The 16,609-nt window shown below is 36.0% G+C and overlaps 1 long non-coding RNA gene and 1 pseudogene across 1 annotated transcript in view; both read right to left on the bottom strand.

The window, feature by feature from the left end:
- Window positions 1-16,609, bottom strand: part of LOC107984704 (uncharacterized) — a 336,950-nt gene that overhangs the window by 147,295 nt on the left and 173,046 nt on the right. The gene's annotated exons all lie outside the window — the stretch shown is intronic.
- Window positions 8,794-10,652, bottom strand: EIF3LP1 (eukaryotic translation initiation factor 3 subunit L pseudogene 1; annotated as a pseudogene).

Genomic DNA, 16,609 nt, shown 5'->3' with positions numbered 1-16,609 from the left:
GCCACCATGCCACGCTAATTTTTGTATTTTTAGTAGAGACAAGGTTTCACTATATTAGTCAGACTGGTTTTGAACTCCTGACCCTGTGATCCACCTGCCTCCGCCTCCCAAAGTGCTGGGATTACAGGCATGAGCCACCACACCCAGCCTACAATGACTCTCTTTAAAGATAAATTTTGTAGCAAAAAGAAACTACACTTTGAGGCAGGAAACAAAGTTCTACGGCAAGTATCCAAATATCTCCAAGGTTTTACTGAGCAAATATATCCCCATATTTTTCTCACCTGTTTGTCATACTTCCTCCTCCCACTGGTAGGAAATGATGAAGGAATATAGCTTGTTGTAATCATTCTAATAATCTTTCATAAATCTCAGATTCATCTTGCCTTGGCTAGGCAAGAGGAATCTAGTATTATAGTGTGGTGAAAATGAAAAAGAATAAGGTTTTGAACTCATACAAAAAATAGTGTTCAAATTTTGTCTCTCCAGTATGACCTTTGGTAAATCACTCCACCATTCTGAACCTCAGTTAACTCATCACACTACAGAATTGTTGTATTTGAGATAATGTATGTACCAAGCCTAGCACTGAGCACTGGATATTTAGGCTATCAAAGAACATTATAAAAATTACTATAATTGTGAGCATTTATAGGTCTTTTAACAGCACTGATTTCAATGGGATCTTATTTATGCATCTGTTACAAAGAATGAAGAACTTCCATGCAAATTTCCAAGTTACCTGAGGCTTACACTTTAGGATCAAATCGTTTTTGTTTTAACCATTTTAATTGAAATTTATTCCTGAAAAGATTATATACTGCTGTGAATTTATAAAAAGAAATGACAAATGATTTAAATATTTATTGCTTTTTTATTATCATGATATTTACAACACTAATGCAGTATTACTGTAATACCTGAAAGAAAATTTGAGGTGGATAGACCATTTCCTTCTTCATTAAAGGGTCTCAGGCTTTTATAATTTTTGAGATCTTACACTTTCTCAGTTATATGTTTAGTGGTTCTGGGTAGTTCAGACCTCTGGCTTATACATTATAGCAAGTAGAATTGAATGATCTACTTCAACACTCTCCAGTTATATTATTGGTTCTCCTATTTTCATGAGGTTAATAGATATTTTGTTTGAAAAAAAATTGGGGCTATGATATTTGAAGTGAAGCCTGCCTGCAATCAACAAAGAGAATCAAATTTTGTAACTCTTTTTTCTCAGCCCTGGGAATTCTCGGATTTGATCATGTCTCTTGACCTATAGAATGTCATAACTGTGGAATACTGTGGGGTGCAATATGGCCAGCAAACTATGAACAGAGAGTAGTTAGTAGGCCAGAGAGTGATAGCAGGCAGTGTCAATGGGGCCAATAAAGCAACAGCAGACATTGGCTAAGAATAGAGTCTCAGGGGAAGCACTTGGAGTAGAGAATCCAAAGAGGTTCAGTTAGCTGATTTCAAATACGAATAGTCCACCCCACCCTCACTCATATCTCCAGGGCATCCCAGGGAAAAGCAGAGGAGAATGGGGGTGGGGACTGGGGTTCTGTCATTTGACAGAAGGAGCTATTGATTCAACATTTCCATCGATAAGTAAGATCTGAGTGAGACTGAGGTAGTACCTGTAAGTTTTATTGCTTTTTTTCCCATACTGCTAGAAAATTTTCTGGACATTCTTGCTGCTATCAGAGTAATGTCTTCTAGTGATTTCTGCCTCTGACCACCAATGAACTCTAAAAACAAGTAAATAAGCTGTATAGCATTATAGAGAATGAGTCTGTTGACATTGCATAAGGAGTATTGCAGGGGGTACTTTTTTGAGTATAAGCCCACAACCTAAACTCATAGACCATGTGGCATCTGTGTTTAATTCCTCAAGACCACTGTATTAAATAACAAATCCATAATTTGAAGACAAAGGCAGATATAAACTAGGCAAAATTAAGCCAAAGTGTCTCTAACTCCTAAACAGACACTAGTTCTACAACTTCACCAGGTATCTGAGGGTCATTAAAAATATCCATTAAAACTACCAAGCACTATGAAGAACTTTCTACTTTGAAAATCAGAGAAAAATTTTCTGAGAAAATTAGAACTCTTTAAGCATTTCCTGGCTTCTTTAAGCATTAGAGATTTGATTTTCAGACCAATAAGCTGTTATCTGCAGCCTGATGGTCTCTACAAATTCCTATCTTCTATAATATGGATGCTTATCATATTTGCCATATAGTTGTATAAGATTAGTTATAAATGGTTACAATTTTAAAATGCATTTAAGCTGAATTATATTAGTATTAATATGGAACATTTAAACATCACATAATTGCCTTAAAACAGCTGGTGGACTACATAGCATAGAAAAAGATTTTTTAGACTGGCATTTAAGTTTGGTGTGCATCTGAGAATGGATAATTACTTTAGGAAGTGCTAGTTCTGAAGTACTGACCTTGTGATAAAGTAATTATATAAAACATCAATAAAAACTTAAGTGAGTGCCTATTATGTTAAAAGCTATTTTGGTAGCATTGGGTAAATGAAGAGCTATAGAGGCAATCTCTGAATCAAACGGTTTATAGAGCAAGTTGTAGCTCAAATAGAAACCAAGCTCAATGCTTAATAATGATTATTGGCTACTAGATCAACTTGAAAACCTTTGGATTTTTTACTTATAAAGTTAGAAGAGACCTTAGAGTCTAACACCTCCTTTAAAAATGAAGGAACTTGAAGTCAGGAGTTCGAGACCAGCCTGACCAATATGGTAAAACTCCATCTCTACTAAAAATACAAAAATTAGCCAGGCATGGTGGCGGGCGCCTGTAGTCCCAGTGACTTGGGAGGCTGAGACACAAGAATTATTTGAACCCAGAAGGCGGAGGTTGCAGTGATCCAAGATCATGCCACTGCACTCCAGCCTGGGTGACAGCGAGACTCCGTCTAAAAAATATATATATATATATGTGTGTGTGCATATGTGTGTGTGTGTGTATATATGTGTGTGTTTATATATAATGCATCCTGAATGGATAAGGTGTGCATATATGTGTGTGTGTGTGTGTGTGTGTGTGTGTGTGTGTGTGTATGTGTGTGTATATATATAATGCATCCTGAATGGATAAGGAGGGACAACAGTAAAAAATTTTAAAACAGGCCAGGCGCACTGGCTAGCGCCTGTAATCCCAGCACTTCGGGAGGCCGAGGCAGGCAGATCACAAGGTCGGGAGATCGAGACCATCCTGGCTAACATGGTGAAACCCCCCTCTCTACTAAAAATACAAAAATAAAATTAGCCGGGCATGGTGGCAGGCGCCTGTAGTCCCAGCTACTTGGGAGGCTGAGGCGGGAGAATGGCATGAACCCGGCAGGCGGAGCTTGCAGTGAGCCAAGATTGAGCCACTGCACTCCAGCCTGGGTAACAGAGCGAGACTCTCTCAAAAAAAAAAAAAAAAAAAAAAAATTTAAAAACAAACAAAAAAAAAGTATAGCTTAATTTTATAGGCCCAAGGCAGAAGTCTGGAACATTTGACAGAGGGCTAATAGGACATCTGGATTCTATAGTCAGACCTGTTTCTTCCTCACTGAATGACTTTATTCAAATAATTTCATTCATTCATTTGCTTAATAAATGTTTCATATGTTCTTCCTCTGGGCCACGTCCTAGGCAAAGTCTTGGGAATCATTCATTCCCCTGGCCACAGTTCCTTCATATATATATATATATATATATATATATATATATATATATATATATATATATATATATTCCCTTTAGCCACAACCACTTTCTTCTGCCCCATCTCCTCATTAATTCCAGGAAACTAATAATCTGCTCCCTGTAACTATAATTTTGACATTTCAAGAATGTTATATAAATGGAATCATATAGTATATAATCTTTTGGGAAATTTTTAGCATAACTCTCTAGAGATTCATCCAGGTGGCTGAATGTATCCATTTTTCTTTCCCTTACTCTTGCTGAATAGCATGCAATGGCATAGATGCCACAGTTTGTTTAAACATTCACTCATTGTAGGACATCTAGATTGTTTTCAGTTCTTGGCTATTACAAATACTGCTGCTATAAACATTCATGTGCAGATTTTTATGTGAGTAAAAGTTTTCATTTCTCTGAAATAAATGCTCAGGATTATGATCACTGGGTTGGATGACAGTTGCATGTTTACTTTTTAAAGAAACCACTAAATTGTTTTCAAAGTGGCTGTACCATCTTATATTCCCACCAGCAACATGTAAGTGACCTAGTTTCTCCAAATCTTTGTCAGCATTTGGTGTTGTCAATATTCTGATACATATGTAGTAACAGTTCATTGTGGTTTTAATTTGGAATTCCTTAATGGCTAATGATGTTAAATTAATTAAATACCTTTTGATGTGCTAACATATCATTTGTGTATCATCTTGGATAGGTTCTCTGTTTATGTCTTTTACTATAAAACATAATTGGATTTTTCTAATTGGATGGGTTTTGTTTTGTTTTTGTTTAAAACTGTTGGATTTTTTGTGTTCCTTATTTATTCTATGTAATAGTCCTTCGTGAGATATGTGGTTTGAAAATATTGTCACCCAGTCTGTGATTTGTTTTTTAATCCTCTGTTAACAGGATTAAAATTAAAAATGCCTTTTGCAGGGAAACCATTTTTATTTTGATGAAATTCAACTGATGGCTTTGTAACTTTTTCCTTTATGGATCACCTTTTGCTTTTAAGTATAAGAATTCTTTAACTAGCCCTAGTTCCCAAAGGTTTTTTTTTCTATATTTTTCCCTAAAAAGTTGCAATTCTACATTTTAGAATTCAGTTTGTGATAAATTTTGAGTTAATTTTTTGTGCAAGGTGTGAGGTTGATGTCAAGGGATTCTGTTGCTGTTGCTGTTACCTGTGGATGTTCAATTGCTTTGGAACTTTCTGTTGTAAAAGCTATTATTTCTCTATTGAATTAATATCTTTAGCAAAAATCAGTTAGGCATGTTTGTGTGGTCTGTTTCTGGCCTTTCTATACTATTCCATTAAGGCATGTGTGTGTTTATCTCTTCACCAGCACCACACAATCTTGATTACTCTGGTTATCTAATAAATTTTGAAGTTGGATAGGCTCATTCCTCCCACTTTATTCTTCTCTTTCAAAATTGTTTCAGCAATTCTAGTGTTTTTGTACTTTTATAAAAATTTTCAGATTAATCTTGTCTATATCTACAAAAATTATTGTTTGAATTTTCATATCAAAATTGTGTCAAATCTGTATATCAATTGGGGATAATTGACATCTTTACTATGTTGAGTCTTTCCTTTAACATGGTTCGTCTTTCCATTTATTTAGATCTTCATTATTAAATCAGCATTTTGTAGTTTAACACAAAAGTCCTGTACATGTCTCTTTTAGAATTGCACCTAAGTATTTTATTTGAGTGATTAGAATTTGCATTGCATTTTTATTATGGGGTCTCATAGATTCATTGCTAGTATGTAGACATGTAATTGTTTTTTATTGAACGTTCAGCTTGTATTCTTTGACCTTGCTGAATCCACTTACACTTCGGGGAGTTTTTCTGTAGATTCCTAGTCATTTGTAAATAAACACGATTTTTTTTTTTTTTTTTTTTTGCCTTCTTGAACCTGCCAACATTTCCAGAACTACTATGTTTAAAAAGAGTGGTGAGAGCATACATCCTTGCATTGCTTTCAATCTGAGATAAAACATTAACATTCCTTTTTTTAATACCCATTTATAATGTTAGTTGTAGAATTTTTTTAATCAAGTTGAAGAAGTTCCAGTTTATTTCTTTTTCACAGTAATTTTATTATAAATGTGTATTGAATTTTGTCAAATGCTTTTTTCTGCATCAATTGATACAATCACATGGTTTTTCTTCTTTAGCTTGTTCATATGATGGATTACATTTATTGATTTTCACATGTTGAAGCAGGCTTAAACCTCTGAAATAAAACCAAAGTGGTTATGATGTGTAATTCTTATATGTTGCTGAATTATGTTTACTAATTTTTTTAAATGTTTGCATCTATATTTATGAGGCATATTGTTCTGTGGATTTCATTCTCATTTTTTGTATTGTTTTTTCTGGCTTTGGTGAGCGTCTCAAAATGAATTAAGAAGTGTTTCCTCTTTTATTTTCTGGAGAAGATTGTGTAGAATTGTCTTAGTTATTTTTAAACATCTGTAGAATTCTGCAGCAAAACCACCTGTGCCTTTTTCTGAAAAGCTTTTAAAATACAAATTCAATTTTCTTAATAGCTATAGTGCTTTCAAATTATCTATTTTGTATTGAATGATTTGTATTAGATTGTGGAGATTTTTTTCTTCCATTTGTTCCCTTTAAAAAATTGTCCTACAATTAAGACATAAATCTGAGTAGTTTGTGATTTTTGAAGAATTGGTCCATTTAAACTAGGTCATCAAATATGTGTGGAGTTGTTGGCAGTATTCCCTAATAACCTATTTCTTGTCTGCAGGATCTGTAGTGAGTTTATTCTTATATTGGTAATTTACTTTTTTTATCTTTGTCAATCTTGCTACATGTTTTGTCAATTTTATTGATCTTTTTGAAAACCCAGAACTTTGATTCACTGATGGTCTCTGTTGTCTTACTGTTTTCAATTTAACTGATTTCTGCTCTTTATTTCCTTCCTTCTGCTTGCTTTGGGTTTATTTTGTTCTTTTTTCCTACGTTCTTGAGGTAGAATCTTAAATTATTAATTTGAGGCTTTTCTTCTTTTCTAATATATGTATCTAGTGCTTTATATTTTCATCTCAGCACTGTTTTCGCTGTATTCTACCAATTTTGATATACTGTATTTCCCTTTTCATGTAATGCTTTTTTAAAACATTCACATGATACTTCATCTTTGACTGATGAACAATTTACATGTGTGGTATTTCATTTCCAAGTGTTAGGAAATTTTCCCATTATATTCCTATTATTAATTTCTAGATTGATTCCATTGTGGACAAAAAGCACACTCTATATCATTTCAGTTACTTTTTTTGCATTTGAACTGTTATTTCTTCTTTTCCTATGGTGAGATAATCATAAATATATTGTGAAGGAAATTTCTCATAACCTTTCTCATTACTGGCAATATTTATTATTATAAATCTATAGAAATTCAATTAAAATATATAGACACAGGGAAACTATATCATTACCATGGCAGCTAATGAAAAACAACACATAAAAATATTTTCTGAATTTTAGAAAATAAGTTGGAAATACAAAGGAAAGTACTAAGAATTGACCATCATATGTCACTTAATTTTGCTTATTGAGCTTTTGTACTTTTTAATGGAAAATAACCCAGCTCTCTTAAATCTACATCTTCTACTCTCTCAATGTTATAAGTTGAATTGTGTCCCCTGAAAACATCCATTGAAGTACCACAGAATGGGATTTTATTTGGAAATAGGATAATTACAGATGTAATTAGTTAAGAAGAACTCACACTGGAGTAATGTGTGCCCCTAATTCAATAAGACTGGTGTCCTTATGAGAAAAAGAGAAGCAATACAGACACATGAGGGAAGGCAGACGTGATGACAGAGGCAGAGATTGGAGTAATGCAGCTTCAAGCCAAGGAACTCCAAGAATTACAGGCCACCAGCAGAAACTGAAGGAGGCAAGGAAGGCTTCTATCCTACAGGTTTCAGAGGGAGAATGGCCCTATAAACATCTTGATGCTGGACTTCTGGCCTCCAGAACTATGAAGTAATGAATTTCTGTTGTTTTAAGCCACCAAGTTTGTGGTACTTTTTACGACAGCCCTAGGAAAGTAATACATTCGGCTTTCTTTTTAATTCAATTTTTAAGTTTTTTATTCTATTTGTTTCCCTGTTAAATTTCTTTTTTATTAATATGTAATATTTTACATAATTATGAGATATATGTAATATTTTGTCACATGCATAGAATGTGTAATGATCAAGTCAGAGTATTTGAGGTGTCCATCACTTTGTAGTATTTATCACTTCTATGTGTTGGGAACAATTCAACTCCTCTCTTCTAGCTACTTTGAAGTATACAATATATTCTTGCTAACTATAGTCATTCTCCTCTGCTACCAAATGGGAGAACTTATACATTTTATCTAATTGTATATTTGTACCCATCAACCTGCCCCTCTTCATCCCCCCTTCCACCAACCACCCTTCCCAGCCTCTGATATCTATCATTACATTCTCTATGTTTATGACATCAACTTTTTTAGCTCCCACATATGAGTGAGAACATGTGATATTTGTCTCCCTGGGCCTGGATTATTTTACTTAATATTATGACCTCCAGTTCCATCAATGCTGCTGCTGCAAAGGACATCATTTTATTCTTTTTAATGGCTGAATAGTATTTCATTGTGTATGTATACCACATTTTCTTTATCTTCTAATCTACTGATGGACACTTAGGTTGATTACAGATCTTTGCTATTGTGAATAGTGCTCAATAATCATGTAAGTACAGGTATGCCTTTGAAATACTAATTTCTTTACCTTTGGATAGATCCCCAACCGTGGGATTATTGGATCTTATGGTAGTTCTATTTTTAGTTTTTAGGGAAATCTCCATACTGTTTTCCATAGTGATTGTACTAATTTACTTTCCAAACAACAGTGTATAAGAATCCCTTTACTCCACATTATGCCAGCATTTGTTATTTTTTGTCTTTTTAATAATAGCCATTCTAACTAAGGTAAGATGATATCTCATGGTTTTGATTTGCATTTCCCTGATGATTAGTGATGTCGAGCATTTTTTTTTCTGGCTCCAAAGATCTTTTACTGAGATCCACTTGAAACACTTCGGTCCTTAATTTGTCAACTGAGTTGACAGGCTGATGGCTGATCTAGGTAAAGGTTTCATGGTAGCAAAAACACTTCCTGCCTATAATATATCAAAACAGGTTCCTGAATAACATGTGTGAATGTCATCAGGGTCTCTGTCCCATCTACTTCAGGATTCGATTAAGCTCCTCAAATTTGTGGATCTGATGGATGAAGATATCCCCATAGCGCTTGGTGACCTTGGTGTCTATGATGTGGATCATGTCCTTATCGATGTAGAAGTCAACCACTGAGACCGATTAAAATTCACCATCCAGGGCTGAGATGCTGCTGGTCCACACCAGGTTCTTCATCTTGTGTTTGAAGACCAGAAGCTGGATCCGGAACTCCTGTTCTGTAAGGTCCAGGGAGCCAGCAAGCTTGGCCACAGGCATGGTGGTGTAGAGCTTGAGGAAGCTGCAGATGCTTGAAAGCTGGGCCTGCTGCCATGCTTCATCGGAAAACACCTCCAGCTGCTGCAGGAAGGGCTCTCTGTGGTAGTTGGGGTACACGTTATCATAGCTGGGCACTACAGGCGACAGGAACTTGGGGCAGGAGTAACTGAAAAGTTCTTCATAGACTTGTGGGTGACCTTTCTGCTTGCGCAGCAACTTGTCCCCATATTTCTCCTGCAGCTGGAGGTGAATGCTCTCATCGATATGCATGGGGTACATCATGAGGGCAATGGCCAGCAGCGCATGCATCTGATCATTCTGCTTGTTAATCATCTCATACTTACATGTGGTCCTCTGGAACATGCTCTTGGTCCTCTGGATGTAGAAGAGGATATTGGTGAAGACCTGGATGGCGTCCTGGTAGCAATGCATCATCAAATACGCAAACCCAAGATAATAGTATGTGGTGACCTGGCACTCTAACACACAGGAATACATGATCTTCTGGTTCAGCTCGATGTTCTCTAGCACCTTGATGGCCTGGTACTAATCTCCTAACAGGGATTGCAGGCAGAGAAACCCCACAAGGCTGAAGTAACCAAGCATCTCCCCAGCCACACTCTCAGGGTCACCTCGCTTGTGTATACCTCCAACTGTCGGTTGATGTTGGATTTGTCTACCCAGGAATGAAGGACATTGAGGACACTGTGAACATTCCAGATTTTGGGATTGGAACAAAGGAAGTCAATCTCCTCCTCCGACTTCTTAGCAGTCTTACAGCAGTACTGACTGAATGACTGAAACTGGTAGATGAACTCATCAATGATATCCTAGAGCCCCTGGTTGGGTAGTTCAAGGGAAGGAGGACCATCAACATTAAGAATATAGTTGAAGAGATTGCAATTGTTATAATAGGATTCAAACCTCTACTCCAAGGAAGGTCCCCCACTGACTTTGGCATATATGTGCCTGTAGTATAATTCTTTATATAAAACCAGGAAGACAGCATTGTTGCCAACCTGTGGAGCAATGGCTTCAGCCTCGGGCCAAGGTGTAGTTTTGAAGAATCTTTCAGTCAGCTTGGTCCAGCTGTTCTCATAGATGTCCTGGATCCTATACACCTTCTGGTCAATGACATCACTGGAGACACAACTGGCCTGTAGCTCATACACTTTCTGGTCAGTCAAATCCGAGACAGTTTTGCGTAAATACTAGATGGAGTTTTTGATCACTTCAGGCATTACCTGATAGGTTTGCTATTCATACTGACGTTCATAAGCAAGGCCCTGCTTTTGGATCTCCATAGTCGCCCAGATAAGTATAGGGATCATAAGCCTCCTCAGACTCATAATCATCGCGAGATAAGACATGGCTGCCGGGCTCACAAACACCACCAGAAAGTGATATTGAGCATTTTTTATATACTTGCTAGCCATTTGAATGTCTACTTTTGAGAATAGTCTATTCATGTCCTTTGCCCACTTTTTAATGAAATTATTATTATTTGTTGTTGTTGTTGTTGTTTGAGATGGAGTTTCACTCTGTCACCCAGGCTGTAGTGCAACGGCACAATCTCAGCTCACTGCAACCTCTGTCACCCAGGTTCAAGCAATTCTCCTGCCTCAGCCTCCCGAGCAGCTGGGATTACAGGCACCTACTAGCATGCCCAGCTAATTTTTATAGTTTTTAGTACAGATGGGGTTTCACCATCTTGGCTAGACTGGTCTTGGACTCCTGACCTCGTGATCCACCCACCTCGGCCTCCCAAAGTGCTGGGATTACAGGCATGAGCCACCATGCCCAGCCTGGCTGTTTTTATCATTATTATTGAGTTGCTTGAGTTGCTTATATATTCTGTATATTAGTCTCTTGTCAGATAAACAGTTCTCAAATATTTTCTCTCATTCAGCAGGTGCCTTTTCACTCTGTTGATTGTCTCCTTTGCTTTGCAGAAGCTTTTTAGTTTAATATAGTCCCATTTGTCCATTTTTCTTTTAGTTGTCTGTGCTTTTAAGATCTTTGCCTAGACCAATGTTCTAAAGTATTTTTCACTATGCTTCTTCTAGTAGTTTTATAGTTTAAGGCCTTATGTTTAAACCTTTGATCCATCTTTGTTGATTTTTGTATATGGTGAGAGAAAGGATTCAGTTTCATTCTCCTGCACAAGGATATACAATTTTCCCACCACTGTTTATTGAGGATAATGTTTTTTCCCCAGTGTATTTTCTTGGGGCCTTTGTTAAAAACAAGTTGGTTGTAAATATGTGGCTTTATTTCTAGTTTCTCTATTTTGTTCCATTGGTCTATGTGTCTATTACTATAACAATGCCATGCTGTTTTGTTTACTATAGCCTTATAATATATTTTGAAGTCTGCAGTGTGATGCATCCAGCTCTGCTTGTTTTGCTCAGGATTGCATTGTATATTCTGGCTCTTTTTTTCCACAGAAATTTTAGGATTTTTTTTCCTTTTATGTAAAAAATGAAAAGTACAGAGTTTTATTAGTTCTCTCTTTGCTTGTTTGTTTATAAAATTAGTGTTGTCATCATCACTTTAAAACAATGGGTTATAAGATAGTATTTATAAGTATCATGAAAACTTCAAATGAAAAAAACATAAAATGAATACACAAAAAATAAAAAGCAAGAAATTAAAACATACCACCAGAGAAAATCATGTTTACTAACAGGAAGACAGGAAGGAGGTAAAGAAGGAAGATAAGACCACAAAACCATCAAAAAGGAAATAACAAAATAGCAGGAATAAGTCCTTACTTATCAAAAATAACATTGAAGGTAAATGGACTAAATTCTCCAATTGAAAGGCCGTATAGATTTAAAAAATAGAGTGGCTGAATGGATTTAAAAAATAGAGGAGTGGCTGAATGGATTAAAAAACTAAGACCCGATGATCTGTTGCCTACAAGAAACACACTTCACATGTAAAGACACATATAGACTGAAAATAAAGGGATAGAAAAATATGTTCCATGCCAACATGAGCCAAAAAAGACAAGAGTAGCTATACTTATAACAGACAAAATATATCATAAGACAAAAACTGTAAGAGACAAAGAAGGTCATTATATAATGATAACTGTATCAATCCAGCAAGAGGATATAACAATTGCAAATATGTATTCACCTAACACTGGAGAACCCAGTTATATAAAGCAAATATTATTAGAGCTAAAGAAAGACATATATTCAAATATGATAATGTCTGGAGACTAACACCCCACTTTCAGCATTAGATAGATTATCCAGACAGAAAATCAACACAAAAAGGACTTAATGTACACCACAGACCAAATGGACCAGACTAAGAAAAAAAGAGAGAAGATTCAAATAAATAAAATCAGAGGCTAAAAGGTAGATATTACAACTGATACTGCAAAAATTCAAAAGATCATTAGAGACCCATGAACAACTATATGCCAATAAACTTGAAAACCTCGAAAAAATGGATAAATCCCTAGATACATAAACCTACCAAATTGAACCATGAAGAAATCCAAAATGTGAATAAACCAATAACAAGTAACAATATCAAAGTGATAATAAAACATCTCCAAGCAAGAAAAAGCCCAGGACTTGATGGCTGCACTGCTGAATTCTACCAAACAGTTAAAAAACAGCTAATACCAATCCCACTCAAACTATTCTAAAAAACAGAGGAGGAGGGAAAACTTCCAAATTCATTCTATGAAGCCTGATACCAAAACCAGACAAAGACACATCAACATAAGAAAAGTACAGACCAATACCCCTGATGAACTTTGAGGCAAAAATCCTCAGCAAAACACTAGCAAACTGAATTTGAGAATACATTAAAAAGATTATTCATCATGACCAAGTGGGATTTATCCCAGGGTACAAGAATGGTTTGACATACACAAATCAATAAATATGTTACATTATATTAAAAGAATGAAAAGCAAAAGCCACATTATCACTTTAATTGGTGCTGAAAAACCATTCGATAAAATTCAACAGAACTTCATAATTTAAAAAAAATCCTAAAAAACGTGGGTACCTAAGGAACATACCACAACACAATGGAAGCCATATATGACAGACCCACAGCTAGCATCATCCTGAAGAGAAAAAAACTAAAAGGCTTTCCTCTATGATATGGAATACCCCAAGGATGCCCACTTTCACCTCTGTTATTCAACATAGTACTAGAAGTCCTACCTAGAGCAATCAGACAAGAGAAAGAAATAAAGGGCATCCAAATTGGAAAGGAAGAACTCAAATTATCCTTATTCACAGATGACATGGTCTTATATTTGGAAAAACCTAAAGATTCCACGAAAAAAACTATTAGAACTGACAAACAAGTTCAGTAAAGCTGCAAGATACAACATCAACAGAAAAGTCAGTAACATTTTTTTGGGGGGGACGGAATCTCACTCTGTTGCCCAGACTGGAGTGCAGTGGCACAATCTTGGCTCACTGCAACCTCTGCCACCTGGGTTCAAGCAATTCTCCTGCCTCAGCCCTCCCAAGTAGCTGAGATTACAGTCATGAGCCACCACGCCCAGCTAAATTTTGTATTTTTAATAGAGATGGGGTCTCGCCATGTTAGCCAGGCTGGTCTCGAACACCTGACCTCAGGTATCCACCTGCCTCATCCTCCCAAAGTGCTAGGATTATAGGCATGAGCCACCACGCCTGGCCACCACTAACATTTCTATATGCCAACACTGAACAATCTGAAAAACAAATCAGGAAATAACACCATTTACAATAGCTACAAACAAAATAAAGAAAAATAAAATACCTAGGAATTAACCTAACAAAAGAAGTGAAAGATCTCTATAATAAAAACTATTAAACACTGATGAAAGAAGTTGAAAAGGACACAAAAAAAGGAAAGATATTACATTTTTATGCATTGAATGGATTGATACTATAGATTCAATGAAATTCCTATCGAAATAACGACATTCATCACAGAAACAAAAAATAAATCCTAAATTTTATATGGAACCACAAAAGACCCAGAATAGCCAAAGCTATCCTGAGCAAAAAGAACAAAACTGGAAGAACCACGTTACCTGAGTTCAAATTACACTCCAAAGCTATAGTTACGAAAACAGCATGGTATTGGCACAAAAACAGACACATAGACCAATGGAACAGAATAGAGAAACCAAAAGCAAATGCATACATCTACAGTGTATTACTTCATTTTCATACTGCTATAAAGAACTGCCCAAGACTGGGTAATTTATAAATGAAAGAGGTTTAGTTGACTCATAGTTCAGCATGGCTGGGAAGCCTCAGGAAACTTACAATCATGGTGGAAGGTGAAGGGGAAGTAAGCCATCTCCTTTGCAATGTAGCAGGAAGAAATGCTGAGCAAAAGACGAAAAGCCCCTTGTAAAACTATCAGATCTCATGAGAATTCACTCACTATCATGATAACAGCTTGGGGGAAACTGCTCCCAGGTTTCAATTACCTCTACCTGGTCTCTCCCTTGACCCATGGGGATTATGGGGATTACAATTCAAGATGAGATTCAGGTGGAGACACAAAGCCTAACCATATTATACAGTAAACTCATTTTCAACAAAGGTAGCAAGAACTTACATCAGGAAAGGACAGTCCCTTTAATAAATGGTGCTGAGAAAATTGGAAATCCATATGCAGAAGAATGAAACTAGATGCCTATCTCTCACCATATACAAATATCAAAGCACAATGGATTAAAAACTTAAATATAAGACCTCAAACTATGAAACTACTACATGAAAACATTGAGGGAAATATTCAGGACATAGGAGTTGGTACAGATTTCTTGAGTAATACCCCACAAGCCCAGGCAACCAAAGCAAAGATAGACAAATGAGATCACATCAAGTTAAAAAGCTTCTGTACAGCAAAGGAAGCAATCAACAAAGTGAAGAGATAACACACAGAATGGGAGAAAATATTTGCAAACTACCCATCTGGCAAGGGATTAATAACCAGAATGTATAAGTAGCTTAAACAATCCTATATGAAAAAATCTGATAATATAATTTAAAAATGGTCAAAATATATGAATAAACATTTCTCAAAGGAAGGCAATAGAAATGGCAAACAGGGATATGAAAAGGTGCCCAACATCACTGATCATCAGAGAAATGCAAATTGAAACTGCCATGACATATCAACTTACCCCAGTTAAGATGCCTTTTATCCAACAGACAGGCAATAGCAAATACTAATGAGGGTGTGGAGAAAAGGGAACCCTCATACACTGTTGGGGTTAATGGAAATTAGTTCAACTACTGTGGAGAGCAGTTTGGAGGTTCCCCAAAAAAATAAAAATAGAGCTACCAAATGATCCAGTAATCCCATCACTAGGAATATATACCCAAAAAAGGAGACCAGCCTATCAAAGATATATCTGCACTACCTTGTTTGCTGCAGCATTATTCACAATAGCCAAGATTTTGAAGCAACCTAAGTTTCCCTCAACAGACTAATGGATAAAGAAAATGTGGTGTATATACACAATGGAGTATTCTTCAGCCAATAGAAAAGAGTGAGATCTTATCATTTGCAACAACATAGATGAAACTGGAAGTCATCATGTTAAGTGAAATAAACCAGTCATGGAAAGACACATTTGCATATTCTCACTTATTTATGGGAGCTAAAAATTTAAACAACTGAACTCATGGAGTAGAATCATGGTTACCAGAGGTAGGGTAGTGGGGCAGGGGTAGGGAAGATGGTTAATGGTACAAAAATATCACTAGGTAGAATGAATAAGATCTAGAATTTGACAGCACAACAGGGTGACTATAATCGATAATAATTTATTGTACATCTTAAAATTACTAAAAGAGTATAATTGTATTGTTTGTAACAGAAAGAATAAATGCTTGAGTTGACTGATATCCCATTTACCCTGACATGATTATTATGCATTGTATGCCTATATTAAAATATCTCATGTGCCCCATTAATATATACAACTACTATGTACCTACAATTTTTTTTAAGTCCCGGCTCTCTACTTGCCCTTCAGTACCACACTAGTGATGGATTTGGAGGTTTCTTATATATGACTGGTAAGAAGTTGAGGTGTAAACTCGGCACATGGTTTTTGCTGCTGGTGATGGAAATGGGGGTGCAGATTTTTCTGTGGAGTTTGGCTGGAATTAAATTCATAAGTTTTCTGCCTTCCTAGGCTTCTATTATTCTGGTCCTGTAGGTAAAGACAGCAGGATTTTGTTGTTGTTGTTGTTGTTGTTGTTGTTGTTGTTGTTGTTGTTGTTGCTATTATTGTCTCCTGTACTTTTTGGCATGTTTAGATTGCTAGCTTCTTTAGCTCCAAGTTTAGCTCCAAGTTTGGAGCA

Source organism: Homo sapiens, chromosome 14, assembly GCF_000001405.40.
Source record: "Homo sapiens chromosome 14, GRCh38.p14 Primary Assembly".
In the NCBI taxonomy this organism is placed as follows: Eukaryota; Metazoa; Chordata; class Mammalia; order Primates; family Hominidae; genus Homo; species Homo sapiens.
This window is presented reverse-complemented; position numbering and strand designations above follow the sequence as displayed.